The 19,118-nt window shown below is 39.4% G+C and overlaps 1 protein-coding gene across 13 annotated transcripts in view; it reads right to left on the bottom strand.

The window, feature by feature from the left end:
* RGL1 (ral guanine nucleotide dissociation stimulator like 1) overlaps window positions 1-19,118 on the bottom strand; it is a 292,424-nt gene that overhangs the window by 63,286 nt on the left and 210,020 nt on the right. For all 13 annotated transcript variants that reach the window (XM_011509339.4, XM_047415682.1, NM_001297669.3 and 10 more), the window contains one exon: window positions 17,473-17,681. In XM_011509339.4, coding sequence (XP_011507641.1) covers window positions 17,473-17,681 — 209 coding nt within the window. The remainder of the gene's footprint in view (window positions 1-17,472; window positions 17,682-19,118) is intronic.

Raw genomic sequence — 19,118 nt, 5'->3', positions numbered from 1 at the left:
CCCTACTTACACTGCTAGCTGTTCTCCCAACTCCACATGTGAGCCAGCCTATTTCATACAAATATATCATATTTTGTTTGGTTTGGAATGTAAACTTAGTAAACGCACTTTAAATTATTAAGGAGGAGTCTTTAATTAACTTATAATGCCTAGACTATTTCTTCAGTTTCTCCTTCCATCAATACAGAATCCAGAGATTCCTTGGGGTTTCACAAGTGAGTAGTCTGTCCCAAAGTTTTGATAAATTCTATAATTGATGAGTTTACATTTTTAAAGAGCACACTTTTGTTTTCTACTAATGGGATTAAAGGCCCAGTACCCTTATGGTTCCTTGTTCCTAGGACTTACAAATCCTTTTAAAAATAAAAGCCCACCATCTGGTTTGACCCAACGCCAGTCCATCTGGTGTCCCTATCATCCCATCCCGGTAGGTTCCAGTTTGCGCCCTTAGGCACCAGCTCACCCATCCACCTGCTCCTTTCTCTAGCTCATCAGCCTTATGGATTTCTTGGCCTCTCAAAGATATTTTCCACTGGTCTCCACCCTCTCTTTTCCTCTTCATTCTGTCCTGCACCTGCTATTTAGAAGGCTTCCAGGGCTACCCTTTGCTCTTCCTGAGATAAGAACTCAGATTAAGATTTACTCAGCCCCACATGAGCAAGGCAAGGATGGAAAACAAGATTCCTAATAAATAAACAGGGTGAGATTTTTCAGCTCTATACTTGGCCAACATCGTAGCAAACTATGTCCTCGTACTCTCTCACAGCAGGCTTGGTGGTTTATTTAAGTAGGAGAGATTACGGTGGGTGCAAGCAAGAGTGGGATCTTGGAAAGCCAGTGTATCTTCTATGTATCTGACTAGAAGGATCCATAAACTCTTCTCTTGCCATCTCTCAATTACTAAATGTGGGACTTAATCTTTGTTTTTGTTACATTCCATGTTAGTCCATTAATTCCCACTCCAGTTATTGTGGAAATATCACATCTTTTTATCTTTCAACTGGAAGCTATGAAAGGTAGATATAAAAAGGGAAAACACCAGGGAAAGATACACATTTTACTGCTCCTGATAGTCTTTTTTTCAAAGTGGTTTGTACTACAAGTTTCCAGATCTCTCTATTCTTTATCTTTGCTTTAGCTCCTCCTACTCTTCTGCTCTTTTCCTGCATTCTTCAGACTCAGAGCTGAGGTGCAGGTTTGGATGGCACCAACATCTATCACAGTTCCTCCCCAGAATGTGATGCCAAATGTGTAATGAGAAGGTGTCAAGAAAGACTAAGTAACTTATACTGGTGAGCCAAGTTCTCTCTCATTAACTAACCTGGTAGCATCTTCTGAGCAATGGCTCAGAAGACCACAGAAGTATTTCTCCTGGCTACCAGAGTGTCTACAGTTTCTCAATTGGGATCAGAGTGACTGCTTGATAATAACTTGGACACCAATAAGGGCCATGGATAAAAAGGAGTGTGTGGCAGAGCACACGATCCAGTTGCTGAGGCTCAAATCTTGCAGACATACTAACTCTTCTCCACCCAACCCATCAGGAAATCCTTTTTGCTCTGCCCTTCTAATATATCCTGAATCCAAACACTTCTCATCACTTCCATTGCTTCCACCCTGGCTCCAACTACACTATCTTGGATAGTGTAAATCAAGTGTAACCTAAATCAATACAACAGCCACCTAAATGGTCCCCAGCTTCTGCCCAGTAGCCAGAGCAATTCTGCTTTAGGTAGATCAGATCATGTCACTGCTCCACTCAAAACCCTCCCATAAAAAGCCAAGCATGGTGGCACATGTCTGCAATCCCAGCTACTCAAGAGGCTGCAGCAAGAGGATCTCCTGAGCCCAGGAGTTCAAGCCTAGCCTGGGCAACACATAGCAAGACGCTGTCTCTCAAAAACAAAAAACAAAAAACAAAAAAAGGAAGAAGAAGAAGAAGAAAAAAGAAAAAGGGAGAAACCCTCCCATGACTCCCATCTCACTCTGAGAAAAGGCGAAAGTCTTACGTGTCTCACAAGGCCCTGAATGATCTGCAGAGACCTCCTCCCACGCCTCCTACAATTCCTCAGCCCTTACTCCCTTTCCAGCCTCACCAGCCTCCTCCCTGCTCCACCCACACACTGGGCATCCTCCTGCCTCTGAATCTGTGCCTGCTGCTGCCTCCTCCCACACCTGTGCCAAGGGCTCACTCTCTCAGCTCCTCAGGTCTTTGCTCAGGTATCACTTTATCAGTGAGGCCTTCCCAGACTGCCCTATTTAAAATACAAACCAACTGTAACATCAGCCCCTTCCCTCCTTTATTTTTCTCTATGGCTTTTAATACCTTCTGATATACTGTGTAGTTCATTTTGTTGTTGTGTTAATTGTCCATTAGAAAATAAACTCCAGCATACCAGGATGTTTTCTTTTTGCTCACTACTCTTTAGAGCTGGCACCCAACTCTTTAGTGCCTGGCACCCAACAGGCATGCAATAGCTACCTGTTGCTAGTGCTCTATTGGGGTTTCAGAAGCAGACGCAGTAATGGACCTCCCAACTACTAGGTTCAGATTTGCCTCTGCAAAGGCATCATCTGGCCTTATTTATGCTTCTACAAGTATCAAGCCCTCACTTCTAAGGGCTTAGGAGCATAAAAGTTTTAAGATAGCTGTGATTATTCCAAAAATCTACAATTAAAAAGAAAAAAAGTTTTAAGATGTTAAAGTTGAGATCTTAAAGGTAAAAACTATTAAAATGCAAAACAAAAGTATACACGCTATTCCAAAGAAGTCTTTTAGAAGTGAGATAAAAGGAAAGAGCCTGTAACCTTGTGGAACTTAATGGACTGGGATGGAGATGATTATTTGCCCCTGCACCTTTCTTAATTTTTTTTCTTTTCCCATTGAAACAGGGTCTCACTCTCTTGCCCAGACTGGAATGCAGTGGCACAGTCATGGCTCACTGTAGCCTTGTCCTTCTAGGTTTGAGCAAGCCTCCCACCTCAGCCTCCTGAGAGGCTGGGACCACAGGCACTAGCTGGGACCACAGATGCATGCCACCATGCCTGGCTAATTTTTTTTATTTTTTGTAGAGACGAGATCTCACTCTGTTGCCCAGGCCGGTCTCGAACTTCTGGGCTCAAGTGATCCTCCCGTCTTAGCCCCTCAAAGTGCTGGGATTACAGGCATAAGCCAACATGCCAGGCCATCCCTGCACCTTTCTTATCATTAAGGAGAATTACTGCTTTACAGAAAAGAAACTAGACTAGTGTTGGAATCCAGAACTCTTTAAATGTTCAGGCTAGGTCCTTTGACAGTCAGTACTACTAGATTAAGAAGGTTCCTTTGATGTTTTCCTGGACCCTCTCATAGCTTCCCATCAAAACTCAAAGTCAAGTTCAATTCACTTATTCCAGGGTAGTAAATAAAGTGTGTGTATGAGTGTGTATGTTTAATTAATGGCCATAGAATAGCTACCAACAAACCTGTCAACGATGTCGTGTCCAATTTCTGCAAAGCCTCCCTAGGATTTAAGATCAAAGCTCCAACCTCTTAAGAAGGCTTACCAATGACCAACTGCTCTTCTTTAAATGGTAACTCATAAAACTTAAAATAAAAATTGTCAGAATGACTTTTGACATGGTTTTCTCTGTTATCACAAGGCAAAAGAAAAATTTACAAATGTCTCCTAAAGTGCAGCCTTAAGCAATTATTTACTGCAGCCTAAAAAGTAATAGAAAAGGGAAAGAAAAAACCAGTACAATGTTTAACTGGTTGCTAAATATTTAAACAGAAACAGTTATTTCCAGAGAGGATGTCTGTATTCTTTGTAGCCTATCTGGTAAGGTGAAGTGTTTTATATGTGTTTGAAGGGGAAGACCAGGTGTATCTGTGGTTCAAAGAAACCCTTAGATAAAGTTGTACCCAGGGACGGTCTCTCTAGTGGGGGCCCTTGCTAACCTTTGCTCCCCAACAGGAAAGTCTCAGTAACACCAGATCAGGAGGCGGGTGATCCTGAAGAATCTCTCAGGCTCTGCTTGATTCTGGCAAATGATCCAATAATAACAGCAGTTAATAATTATTGAGAACTTACTATATGCCAGGTACTGTGCTAAGGGCTTTACATGCTGGCTTGGTTTAGTTCTCCTATAATTCTATAGAGTGAAGTTATTTTTATTCCTATTCTACAGATGAGAAAAATGAGGCCCAGAAGGCTTAAATTAAGTAACATGCCCTCAAAGATACAACTAATACGTGCAGCAGGGATTTCAGCCATGACAGTCAGCGTTCAGCAACCAGCCTCTGAATCACTCCCTACCATACAAGCTATGGTGAGCCTTTCATTCATTTATTCCATCATTCATTCTTTCACTCATTTAGTCCTCATTCAATGAGGATTATTTACTAAGGACTACGTACAGGTACTATTCTAGACATTGAGGATACAGCAGCAAACAAACCAAAGTCTCTGTTTTCATGAAGTATACATGGTAGTGCGGAGGAGACAGACAACAATAATTAGTTAATATATACTAAGTCAGAGAGTGAAAAGTGCAATGGAGAGAAATAAAGCAGGTCAGGGTGACCTGGTATAATGGAGGGCCAGAGGTTGGGTATTTGGGGAAGGCCCAATGTGAATGTGAAAACTAAGTAAACTCTCCAGAAAGTGAGGAAGTGGGCCCTGCAGATCTCCAGGGAAAGAGCCTCTAAGCAGTCCAAAGAGCCAATGCAAAGGCCTTGGAAGAGTAGCAGAAGGATGTTTCTAAGAAACATTAAGAGGCCAATGAGGGGCAGAGCTGAGTGAGCGTGAATAGAAAAGGAGGCATGGAGATGACAAGGACAGATGCTGAGGGCCTGGTAGGTAGGCTGTGGCAAGGACTCTGGTTTTACTCTTCTATTTTGCTTACTGCTACTTCTACTGAGCCTGGAATAGAGCCTGCACAAAGTAGACAATAAATATTTGCTCAATGAATTAATACACACCCTCTTCTACCAAGAATAAAAGAAAGGCTGGGGCGGGAAGAGTTGGGAAGGAGGTACTTTATTGGGGATAGTGAAAGAACGGAAAGGAAGAAGTAAAGGAAAGAGAGACCTCACATGAAGCTGCTGACTCAAGGACTCCTGGGAATCTTTTCTAATAAATGCTGGCCTCAGAACATCTTAGGCATTTTTCTGTAACTGACCCAAAAGAACACAGGTCAGGTATGAAAAAAATGTTCAGAAGCTGACCTTGACTCAGGAGAACGACATGGGTGAAATAGCCTGCAGATGTCTGGTGAAAACCTTAGTGAAGACTTTGGACTGTTTCCACAGATCAGCAAGAAGTGTGGTTTTAATTACTCTGAATAATATCCTCCATGGCAGGCACCTCTCCGCCAAGTCTGACCTGAGAACTGGGTCACAGCCACCAAGCCTACCTTGGAAAGGTCTTGTTACCACTGTGAAGTTACTTATTCAAGGGGAAAGACAAAGGTCAAAAACAACAAGGCAAAAACTCCTTGTTCTCTTGCAGGAAAGGAAGGGGCCAAGAAGATTGAGCCGAGAACCCTATACTGTGCTTTCCATTTATGAGGGTTAGTTCTCTAGGCCATTTTTCCCTGACTAGAAAAAGCTAGAAGACCCAACAAAAGCTGCCCTCCTCACCTCTAGGCCTTTGCTGTGAAGGACACTGCACCTTCCTTGTTCTTTCATTGTCCACATATCTCCATACTAAGTCCCTGACACTTAAGGCAACATTAACAGCAAAAGAGTACCTGATATTTCTGCCCCACTTGACAGTTACAAAATGCTATAACATTTTCCTGGAGAATAACCTTTCTTTCCAGCCCTTAACCCACAACTGTCTAAAGAGGAGTTCAAGAAAAGGACACTATTCATCCAAGGGAAAGAAAAAAAGTTCTCTCCTGCCACAACTTATATCTCACGCAGATTTAAAATTATTTAAGTATGTTGGCTCTCACACTCCTGCTATAAGGTTTCTTCTATTTTCCATTCCAAGCCTCTGTCATCCGTTTCTTTTCTCTGGCCTGTTTCCTGCACTCAGAGCTTGGTGGCCCATCCGTAGCTACTCCTTCCACTTCTAGTTCATAACAATGCTAAACCACCAACTGCAAACACATCTTGTTAGTACACTGCAATGGATGAGGCTACAATGACGGACAACAGAAGAAACTGGTAGATGGGGGTAGGAAGGAGGCAGCACTCAGACTCTGTTCATGAGTCTAGATTTTTCTCAGGTTTAAGATGAATTAATACATTATTAACAAATCAGTACAAGCCTGTGGCTCAGTTTTCCCCAACCACAAAAAGCTGCTATTGCAGAGCTCTTCAAAATCTTATGAAACATGCTTTGTAACATCAAATACAATGAATATGAGTTTAGTATCATGGCATCCTTTCATTTTCAAGAATACTTTTCTTTTTCGCCTATAGCTTACAAAAACTCAACGGAATATCAATTTATCTAAATGGGTGCTTACTGTTAGCTTTAGTAGAGGCCAAAGGCAAAAGAATTGTGTTCCCAGGACTAGGGGCCTGACAGCATTATCAAGGGCTAAGTTCACAAAAAATAAATGTAAAAAAAATTTTCAGATAAGAGAATAGCGATATGAAAAACAAAATTAACTCAAAACCACCAGTATCTTCCCCTTTTAGATGTCCCAAGATACTTTCTAAAACCATTAAATTTACCTGAATGAACCATGAAGCGTAATTTTAGTTAATTTGATTGGTTTACTTTTCAGAGCCACACTTAAGGTCTGTGTTCCAGTTATAATAAAGCTAGGATCAGTGCCCACCTCTCATTCATAATGGCTGCCTACATATCCCCTGTTACCACGCTAGGGACACTTTGCCTAGGGGATCATAACCCAGGGTCTCTAGATGAATTTACAGAAGTCTGGGAAGTCCCTAAATTTTATGAAAAAAATTGTGACATTCTCTTTTTTCTAAAGAGAAGGTCCATAGTTTTTAGTACATTCTTACAGGGGTTTGTGATCAATCACTCCCACCAACTGCTGAAAAATGGTCAAAACCACTGCTTTAAATGATCAAAGCTGAATGTCTGACTGTCCAGTTACTAACTCAGTTACCACCCATTACATTTCAGTTTCTTGTCAGTTTTGTTTTGTAGTTTACAAATGTTAAGCACACTTTAAAAAAAAAACCTGCTGGGCAATTTTATATTCTTTTCAAAAAAAGGATAATTGCATGTCCTTGCCTCCCTTTGCCAAGTGAAATAAAAAAAACAAGCTACTTCATGGAAACATTTTTATCTCTTAGGTCTTATAAATCCCATTTCAAGAAAAGAAAGCTAGCCTGGCTATGATCTGAGGCAAAGTCTTTGACAGCATCCCCTCAGTGTCTACTTTAACAAAACCATCACTGTCGTCCCACAAGCTAAGGCTCTACAGTCGCCACATGTTCCTATCCAGAATTCCCATAGTGTTGGCAGGTGACAGTTGGGTCCACTTGGCAAAAGTAAATATTTACCAAAGGCCACCAACCCAGCAGGGAAGAGAACTTATTTCCATTTTCCCTCAGGTAATTATGGTTGGATATAATTCTCAAACAGCACCAGATTAAATTTTTCTGGTTAATCCAAAGTAACTGGCATAGTTACAGGGAGAAAATAATAACAATGCCCATCACATTCTGGCTCCGGCCATGCTTCCTGGAGCTGAGTGTGTGGACCGAAACTGAACAGGGCATGATGTCCTGAACAGAACAAAGGTGAGGGTGGACACCGACCTTCAACATCCTTGAGCCTATGGCCACTAGATTTTTCAGAGTCAATCTCCCTGACAAGAATTCCTTGTTTCTTATCTGTGTTGCTGGAATAAATTATTACAAACTTAGTGGCTTATAACAATACAAATTTACTATTTTATAGTTCTGTAAGTCAGAAGTCCAACAAGGGTCTCAATGGGTTAAAATCAAGGTGTTGTCAGGGCTATGTTCCTTTCTAGAGGTTCTAGAAGAGAATCTGTTCAATCCCCTTTTCTAGCTTCAAGAGGCTGCCTGCATTCTTTGGCTCAAGGCCCCCTTCCTCCATCTTCAAAGCCAGCAACATAGCATCTATCTGATCCCATTTCCATCCTTGTATCTCTTTCTCTGTCTTCTGCCTCCATCTTTTACATTTTTAAGGACCCTTGTGATTACTCTGGGCTCACTCAGATAATCCAAGATAATCTCCTTATTTTATAGTCAGCTGATTAGTAACCTTAATTCCATCTGCAACCTCAATTCCCCTTTGCATATAACCTAACATATTCCCAGGTTTCAGGGATGAGGATGTGGACATCTTTGGATATGTAAATTATTATAAATGTTATACCTTCTATTGTTTTCTGAGCTAAACTGTTTCTCTCCACCTGATAAAGTGTGAGCCAGCAAGAGCCTGAGACCTTTTATGAAAGGCATCCCCTATCAAAGTTTTTAATGCTCTTTTCTATATTATAACCATTTTCATACCCAAAGATTTTCACACCCTTCTTACAATCCTCTTTTCTCTTCTACCAACCAATAGTGTCATGTTTCTCATAGTTGCAGGAAATAAGATCTAAGTCCAATTTATCTTTCAGCAATCTACCTTTTTTTAAAAAACACCTTAACATATATATATATATAAAAATATATATATATTTACAGGGAGAAAATAATAACAATTCTGGTCACATTCTGGCTCCAGCCATGCTTCCTGGAGCTGAGTGTGTGGACCAAAACTGAACAGGGCATGATGTCCTGAATAGAACATAAACTCATAATTTGACATTTTTCTAAACTTTTTGTTTGTTCTAAGAGTTATTTATTAATGTTTAACTTCTATCACTTATATAGGAAATTTTTCAAAATAATTCCATATTCTCTTCATTAATTTTAGTAACCCCCCACAGAGCCAAATGGAAACTAGTAGAGAGGGTCATATACATAACAGAACATATATATATATGTTCTGTTATATATATGTGTGTGTATGTGTATGTGTGTGTAACCCATCCAAGTTTTTTTGGGTTTTTTTGCCTAGGAAGTCATCAACACCCAGACCTAGAGAAAATCTATTTAAACTCATCTGTTCTAACAAAAATCTTAAATAGCAGCCTTCATTTACTAAGAAATTCTCACCCTAGTCAGGATATTCAATATGATTGTATGTTAAGCTAGAAAGGAAGCAAAGCAATGTTAAGATTTCCTGAAAGTTTTTCTACTAAATAAATGGGATGTGCATCCTGGAGCCACCAACCACTAAATCTCAACTGTTTCATGCATGGGTGGGTTGGGGGAGGCACAAAAGACTTAATGAGTGACCCTCTCTGCTAATTTCGATTTGGCCCTGTAGGAGGTTACTAAAATTAATGAAGAGAATGGTATGGAATTATTTTGAAAAATTTCCTATGTAAGTGATGGAAGTTAAACATTAATAAATAACTCAGAACAAAAAGTTTAGAAAAAAATCAAATTATGAGTTTCATAGTAACAAGATTTAATGTGAGTGTTAATGCTATAAGAGACCAGCACCTACAGGTGAGTTATGGTCTCAGTGTCACCTCTAGATGCTGGTGACCCTAGAGGCGACACTGGGACCATAAGTCACATGAAGATGCTCTGAGACCCGTCGTGCGGGTTCAGTTTCCAGTATGTTTCCCAGTGCTCTCTCTGTTGACAACTTCCTTTCCTTGGACCTGGAAGAGGAGAGGAAAGATATTAGAAACCTTGCCTCTTACTGAAAGAAAAGGAAGTACAGGAACATGAACACTGCATGCCAGCATGAATCTAGGAATATTTGGCAAGTGCCTAGTGTAATTCCAGCACTAAATAAAAAATTCAATTATTTTTAAGTGAGGTTTAACAAAAAGCAAATTGGAACATATTGTACGCATCTCAAAAACACTTACCAGCTTCTCATGCAACGAAAGCATTTGAGAACTGAATGGATGTGTGCAATGGGCTTTTTATAGAAGGTTTACAACTACCAGCTCCCGGGGGGAAAAGGTTTTCATTAAAAACGCACATTCAGCCTCATGGCCTTGACAGTGATGACACGAGTCTATAGACTTATTTGTCTCTCCCACTAAACATGGGCAGAGGCTGGGCAATGTTCACTGCTGGACCTTCCAAAACACCTGCTTGGAAAAGGCATGAATAATGATAACCATTATTTATTTGTTAGACAAATAGTTCCTAAGCACCTACTGCAGGCACCATTTTGAGGGTAGAGCAATGAACAAGACTAACATGGTCTCTGAGTGGGAAAGACAGTCATGAAATAAGCAAGATAAATAAGGTAATTTCAAATAATAATAAATGCCTTGAAGAAAGAAAACAAGGTAATAGTAATCTCTTAAGCACTTAATATTTTTCAGCCACTATACTACAAATTTTACCTATATTATCATGTTCAAACTTTATAATAACTCTATAAATTAGGTGCTATTTTTGTTATTTTATAGATGAGGAAAACTGAAGCTAGTAAGATAAATTCACTGCCCAATACTGCAGAGCAAGTAAGGAGTGCAAAACTGGAATAAAATTCAAATTTCTGACTCCTAAGCCCATGTTCTTAACCATTATACTATATGCCTTAAATCTGAATCTCATGGGTAAAAAAAAAGACAGGAAAAATTGCTTTTCCCATAATGTATCCTAAAATTCTGAAAAGTCTGTTTGACATCTATGACAAAATCCTTGGAAATAAATGAAAATTTTCAAGCTTTATATCTGATCAACTCCTCTCTACACTGTGGAGGAACTGGTTGCACTAACAAAGGCAGCTCCGTTTTGCTGGTTATTGGTATGTCAGGTTTTGCATATGAAAATGTTACTCCAGGCGACATAAAGAATGGATTTAAGGTTTCTGTTCCCACGGTGGTACTATACTTACTTAAATCCACCCGTGCTCTCTCATTTGCTATCCCTGACCCTTCAGGAAAAGCTGATCGAGGTCAGGGATTTGGCCAGGCCCATTCAGTACACAGAAACACTCCAAACACACAGACAAAGCAATTACCTTTATGGGCCATGATCTAAGTGATCACCTAAGATCCTGGCCAACATTCAGTTTTATTTGGGTACAGCTCTCCAAAATATCCTTTATAACTCTGTGTTATAGAACCTTTTATCTCCCAGTGGTCTATCAATTTTAATTATATAAATGTATTTGCACACTGATTTGTTTAATGTTACTCTTTCCCACTAGACATTCAGCATGAAGAAGGCAGGTTTGTCCACCATTATACACACAGCATCTTGTACAGTACATAGTACACATTAAAGAGCTGATAAATATTGCTTGAGTAGACAAATAACAGCACTGATGCTCAAGTGAACTGCTCACAACTGTGTGAAGGGAGGAGCCCTTGGGAAATACAGTTTCCAGGGAAAATCACTTGAGGTAGTAGTGAAAAGGATGGCTAAAAAGGATTCCCAAAAAAGGGTTCCTTTAAAGGTGATATTAACAAATCAAGGAAGGTGATATTGTACACTTGGAAAGAGCTTCCAAGTCAGAAAGGAGTAGGTTTTAATTCTAGCTCTGCTACTTACTGATTGAATGTTTCTGAGCCACAATTTTCTAATCTGTAAACATAGGGGTAAAAATAAGTGAACTAAATGAGATGAAGCCTGTGAAAACACATGGCAAGCAAACATGGGAAGAAGAAATAAGTTCAAAGACCTACTGAATTAGTCTCTTCTCTGCACCATAAGCAAGCAAATTTAAGTCAGATAATCTTAAAGCATAGTGTTTACAAATGGCTCCAACCTTTAAAAACCCCGAATGTCCTCCACTGGGAGAATTCATTTGAAATTAAGGGAGTAATTCAGACTATTACTCAGTGCTTTCCATAGTGTGACCTGAGTGCCATCAGCTTGGCAAAGGTTTCTGGAGACCTAGTTAACCCCTACTCTGGTTCTTGTTGGCATTCTGCTTACTTTTTTTTTCTTTTAGACAGGGTCTCGCTTTGTTACCCAGGCTGGATTGCAGTGGCACAATCTCAGCTCACTGCAACCTCCGCTTCCCAGGCTCAAGTTATCCTCCTGCCTCACCCTCCCTAGGGCTACAGGCATGCACCACCACGCCCAGCTAACTTTTGTATTTTTAGTAGAGATGGGGTTTTGCCTTGTTGGCCAGGCTGGTCTCAAACTCCTGGCCTCAAGTGAACCGCCCACCTCGGCCTCCCAAAGTGCTGGGATTACAAGCATGAGCCACTGCACTCAGCTCATTCTGCTTAATTCTGATATTAGAGTGCATAACACAGAAAGAGAGAATGTTCAAGAAATGGCCCAAAAGGGAGCTATTGTGACAGCTATCTGAAGAAAACTCTAGATACTTGTGCCAACATTTCATGGCTCTCACTGAAGGTCACTAATTAAAGTAGGTTTCTCCCTACATTTGAGGTTGGGCATATTCAGTAGTATCTAACACCCTTATGTTTAAAATGGTATGGTGGAGAGAACAGATGATTTTTTTTGAGACCAAGTCTTACTGTGTCGCCCAGGCTGGTGCAATTTCAGCTCACTGCAACTTCTGCCTCCCAGGTTCAAGCGATTCTCCCGCCTCAGCCTCCCGAGTAGCTAGGACTACAGACGCCTGCCACCATACCAGCTAATTTTTATATTTTTAGTAGGGACAGGGTTTCACCATGTTGGCCAGGTTGGTCTCAAACTCCTGACCTCAGGTGATCCACCTGCCTCAGCCTCCCAAAGTGCTGGGATTAAAGATGTGAGCCACCACGCCTGGCCAGATTTTTAACTGAGTGAGTGTATGTTTGAAGTTAGATAAAAGAAAATCTCAAAGCCCCAACACAAACTGCTGGCCCAGAATTCAAGAACTTTCTCTTGGGTTAAAAGTAGGCCAATGTGGACTCTGAGCCATGTTGAGAAGCACAGGAAACAGGGGTCCTTGGGAAATGATCACCCCAAGTAAGGGGTAAAGCAAACACATGGAATTAGCTATACGTGAATTCAAACCACTGTCTATTGGCCAATCACAAAAGGCTCATATTATAGCAGAATAAAAAACTGTCAAAAGATAAAAAATAAATCCCAGAAAGCAAATAGTTCCATATGAGAAAACCCACATTATTAGAAGTCTTAAGGGAAATCAAAGCTTGACATCAAATAAGCTTCTCCGGTGGGAAATAAATACTGCAGTATCTGTCTTCAATCTATTCTTGACTGATTATTGTATGATTAGCACATGCTGTAATAGCGTCTCAGTGTTAATTTCACAACAGATAAGCAAACTACTATTAAGAAACCAAAAGAAATTATTTTTAAAATTATGTCAGAGACCCATAAACAAGTCTACCACAATCTACTGACAAAATAATATTTCAAATGCTCATCTTCAGAATAGGCAAGTTTATACAACATAATTGCTTCCTCTTAATTATAGACATTAAAAGTCTCAACAACCAATTTAAGAACCCACTGTTTCACAGAATGTGCATTTTGGTTAAATTTAATCAAGACTGAAGCCTGGCTCAAGATCTAAGTGTGAGTAGGAAATGAAGCAAGGAAGAAATACTCATGTTGAGGTTTGTACTTATTTGAACAAATCCCAATTTCTGCAGAATAATCTAAATAAATGATATTTATTCCTCTGAACTTCTATATCCTGTTTCATCTGCAGAACATGTTAGAACTTCATCTAATACCATCTCAAGCAGTTATCTACTTGTTTCAGAAATGCAAGCCTTAATATGTTATCTTTTGCAGTAAAATATTAAGTACTGAGGGGTGGATCCAGGTCTTATGGATATGTAATTTGAAGCCATATGTAATCTGAGGGATCCTCTCAAAGAAAAAGAATACAAAATCATGAATATAAAATTATGCAGAGGGCATTCCAAGTGAGCGCCCCTGGAGGTTAAGTACCAGTGGCTTCATAGTAAATCTACCTCTAAACTATCTCAAGGCATGAAACAAGTCTCATATTCCTGAGTTCCATCTGCATGGTGTCTTGCAGAAGCTGGGTATTGTGTAGGCATTGAGTACTTGTCAATTCCATTCATTTCAGAAGCAAGCAAAGGATCTGTTTATGAGATTAAATTCAAGGCCAAGCCTTGGCCCATCCAAATGGTAAAAAAATAAATCCTAACTCTCCAGTTATATCGTACATGACAGCTTGAATTAAATGCAGTTTGATTCATTTTCAGTGTTAGTCAGTCATCCAGTTAGTGTTTTAAAAAGCAAAAACATCTATCCTCTATAATAGAACAAAGAAAAGATTTAAAAAATATCAAAATCTGGATGTACATGAGTCATAGACTAAACACTCCAGTTCCTGTGTGTATATGTCCTCTATTTAGGATGAACAGCTGGAATTTACGTGCACTCCTTTATTGACTGTGGATATCTGTGGCCTATTATCAATAGTCACCCCATAAATAGAAGAGGTTACCAATTCCAAAGTAAACTTGTAGGAGTTTTTTAACGTTTTGAACAGTCAATTCATACTGCCTGCCAACAGCATACTGCATTTTTTTATAAACATGAAATACCAAAAAGATAAAATTCATATAATTTTTCAATTTCTACTTACAGGTATGATCTATTACATAAGATCCTGCCTATATAAAGAAATGCCTCACCAATCCAAGTTTATATTCCAGGCCTATTTTGTCAAGCACTGCTATGAAAAAAGCTACAGAACTTCCTATCTGTGCTGCAGCTCAAAGTATCATAATCCAGATCAATGTATGACAAAGAACAGACATTTTGTGAGTATTCTTGAAGATTAACATATTAATAACCATTGATCCAAATAATCTTACTCTATATGCATCTTACGAGTAAACTACTTTGAGAGAAAACCCACTATTGTCAATAACCTTACTTATATTGGAATATAACTTGATTATTAAAGGTATTTCTTAAGACTAATAGATATGACTACACAAAAAATGTTAATGTCGTTATAAAAAATTTTAATAAATAACTTTTAAAACGAATGGAAAAATTAGGAAAATATTTCTAACATATGATAAGCAACAAACTAATTCCCTTAATATGCAGAGTTATAATTAGATAATCAATAATTAGATGAAAAGAGTCCAAAAGAAAAATAGGCAAAAGGATATGAAAAGGCAGTTCACAGAAAAGAAAACACAAACAGCCAATAAGAATTTTAAAAGATGCTAAACCTCACTCATAAATGTAAGAAGCACAAATTCAAAAACAAGAAGCTATCATTTGTCAGTGGTCAGGTCATGGCAAAGACAGTTTCAAAAGTAGAGAGAAAATATCCACAGTTGGCAAGAGTGTGGGGAAAATGAGGAAATAGGCATTCCCGTTTTCTGTGGACAGGAATGTCACTGGTGCAATCTGGCAGTTATCTTTCAAATCTTTAAATGCTGATATACTTTGACCCATTAGTGACTCTTCTATGACATTATCCTATAGAATTCTCAACCAACTATTCCGAAGATATATATTCAAAAATGCTCCTTGCAGTACTGTTTACAAAGTTTAAAAAACAAATTTGCTGGGCGCAGCGGCTCTCAAGTCTAATCCCAGCACTTTGGGAGGCTGAGGCGGCAGATCATGAGGTCAAGAGATCGAGATCATCCTGGCCAACATGGTAAAGCCCTGTCTTTACAAAAAATACAAAAATTAGCTGGGTGTGGTGGCATGCACCTGTAATCCCAGCTACCCAGGAGGCTGAGGCAGGAGAATTGCTTGAACCCAAGAGGCGGAGGTTGCAGTGAGCCGAGATCACGCCACTGCACTCCAGCCTGGAGACAGAGCGAGATGCCATCTCAACAAAAAAAAAAAAAAAAAAAAAAACTAAAAACTGGAGAAAACTTAAATGTCTATCCATATAATAACCCATTCAATAAATATTATAAAGCTATTGAAAAGATTATGATAGATTCATCTACACGTGCTGGTTTTGAAATAAGAATTACATTTTTTGAGCTTTCAATATGCCAGCCACTGTTCTAAGCCTTTTATATATACTAATTCACTTAATGAGTAAAAAATTTCCAAGATATGCAGATAAGTAAAAACTGAAAACTGGCCAGGCGTGGTGGCATGCACCTGTCATCCTAGCAACTCAGGAGGCTGAGGCTGATCTCTTGAGCCCCGGAGTTTGAGGATGCAGTGAGCTATGATTGTGTGACTGCACTCCAGTCCAGTCTGGACAACAGGACAAGATCCTATCTCTAAAAATAGAAAAAAAAAATTTTTTAAATGAAAATTGCAGAACAGACTATGTACTGTGATGCTATCTGTATCATAGGTAAGTATATGTGTCATATGATAAATATATAAACATATCATATATATGACATACAGTACATAAATGTGTGTATATATACATACATACTTTCTATACACCCAAAAGTGTGGGAAAAATACAAAAGGATGGTTCACAGTGATTTCCTGGGAGGAATGGGATTGGAGCTTGGAGAAAAAAATATTTTACTTTTTATTTTTATAATTATCTGGGCTGATGGAACTTTTCACCATATACATGGATTACCTCTATTTTTAAAATGTTAATATGTGTTATTTGCCTAGTTGATGGTCTATTTAATTTTCTTCTTACTACTAATATTTTTAAATCTAATAAATGTTATTTGGGGAAAAGGCAGCAATATGAACAAACTTTAATATTTTGCATATTCTTCCACAGTGTAAGAATTTTTAGCATGAGCACAGATTACTTTCAAAATAAAAAAATTTAGTTAACAAACATCAATACTCAACAAGCCCAACAGAAAGCCGTATCTCATTTCCTTCCTTATGCAGGAAACCCCAGAATATAAGGATTTAGATGAGGATTCTCCTGATTCTAAAACAATTGTTTGGCTGACAGCTTTCTTCCTCCCAGTATCAAGTTGATTTAATGATATTTTCTAAAAGACCAAGTTTAATTCTAAATAAAACAGAAATAAAGAGGAAAATCTAAAGTTTAACAGTGTGTAAATATCAATGTATACTGCTCTATGTAATAAGTAGCTTAAAAATACGGATCAAGGATATTTATGTGCAGATCCTTAAAACAGTCAATACATGCTGACTGTTAATAGTTATCATCATCATCGCATCATCATTGCCACCATTCCTAAGCTGCTTCCTGTGGATCTAAGAATGAGCTCCACACTTCACACATATTAGCACATTTCATCCCCACAACATCCCAGTAAAATTCTTGGTCAACTGATTATTTACTGAATAATATAAAATTATAAAAATATGGAGAAATTTAGGGTGGCAAATAGTAAATCCATAAAGCAACTGAATCTAGATTTAAGGTATCCACTCTCAACTCTTTTATAAATCTTTTAGGAGATATTTTTCCCCAGCAACAGACCATAAGTGGCTCCTGAATGATCTTCTTTTCATTTGTGCCAAAGGTCATCCCTTCCCGTTAATCTTTCCTCACATATCTCTCTCCGAATACCAAGTGCAGGTGATTCAGAACCTCGTGCTCCACTCCATAATCAGCCTACATTTCTTTCAACTCAAAAGCTCCTTTACATTCTTACCTGTCCAGCAGTAGTTCCAGCACTTCTTTAGTGGAGGCAAAGCCTCTGTACGTTGAAAGAAAGATGCTGATATAGGTAAAGTCATTGTCCCCAAAAGCTGTCAGCAGGTTCTCCACAAGCTTCTCCAAGGTGCCAGCTTTTATGGTCCTGATCTTACAGGTTTCATATTGACTGACTGTGTGTCCTGGAGGCAGCTGGTCCCCTTCAACCTGTATAATAAATTAACAATTACCATAAGGAGAAATGACTCCCTAAAGTAAAATTGGAAGCATTGAAATAGTTGAAGGCCATAGCCTGTTATGTTTCCTCTCATTCTTATTTATTTATTTATCCCTTTTGTTACCCAGGCTGGAGAGCAGTGGTGTGATCACAGATCACTGCAGCTTGGAGCTCCTGGGCTCGAGTGATCCTCCTGACTCAGCCTCCCAAGTAGCTGGGACTACAGGCTCAGGCAACCATGCTCTGCTCATTTTTGTATTTTTGTTTTTGGTAGAGATAGTGTCTCGCTATGTTATCCAGACTGGTCTCAAACTCCTGGGTTCAAGCAACCCTCTCGCCTTGGCCTCCCAAAATGCTGGGATTATAGGTGTGAGCCACTGCATGCAGCTTACCCTCACTCTTATTTAATTTCTCTACATGTCATATAAGGCAATGCTCTCTCCTATGAGTTTAGTGTGGTAGGGTGGTGGTGGTGGAGGTATGCGTGTTTCCTACCTTTCTAGAAGTAGAGGTATTACTTCATAATGGTTACATTTGCTTCTACTTACTCCCCTATCAAGAACTAGTTTGCTGATATAATTTTACCAAGCGCATTTTTAATGATACCAGGATCAGGTTTAGCAAGCATTCCCTTTGTTTTGTTCCATGGAAAGTTTTCAAACTCATTCTTTTTTTTGAGATGGAGTCTCGCTTTGTCGCCCAGGCTGGAGTGCAGTGATGTGATCTTGGCTCACTGCAACCTCCACCTCCTGGGGTCAAGTAATTCTCCTGCCTCAGCCTCCCGAGTAGCTGGGATTACAGGCACCCATCACCACACCCGACTAATTTTTGCATTTTTAGGAGAGACAGGTTTTCACCATGTTGGCCAGGCTGGTCTTGAACTCCTGACCTCAGGTGATACGCCCGCCTCAGCCTCCAAAAGTGTTGTGATTACAGGCGTGAGCCACTGCACCTGGACAAACTCATTCTTTTTTGTTGTTGTTGTTGTTGGAGTTTTTTATTCTTTTTTTTTTTAAAAATTATACTTTAAGTGCTGGGATACATATGCAGGTTTGTTACATAGGTATACACATGCCATGGTGGTTTGTTGCACCCATCAACCCATCATCTATATTAGGTATTTCTCCTAAGGCTATCCCTCCCCTAGTCTGTCACCCCACCCCCGACAGGCCCCCATGTGTGACGTTCCCCTCTCTGTGTCCATATGTCCTCATTGTTCAACTCCCACTTATGAGTGAGAACATGCGGTGTTTGGTTTTCTGTTCTTCTGTTAGTTTGCTGAGAATGATGGTTTCCAGCTTCATCCATGTCCCTCCAAAGGACATGAACTCATCCTTTTTTATGGCTGCACAGTATTCCATGGTGTATATGTGCCTCATTTTCTTTATCCAGTCTATCACTGATGGGCATTTGGGTTGGTTCCAAGT

Source organism: Homo sapiens, chromosome 1, assembly GCF_000001405.40.
Source record: "Homo sapiens chromosome 1, GRCh38.p14 Primary Assembly".
Classification (NCBI taxonomy): Eukaryota; Metazoa; Chordata; class Mammalia; order Primates; family Hominidae; genus Homo; species Homo sapiens.
The sequence above is the reverse complement of the archived record's forward strand: the minus strand, read 5'-3'. Positions and strand labels throughout refer to the sequence as shown.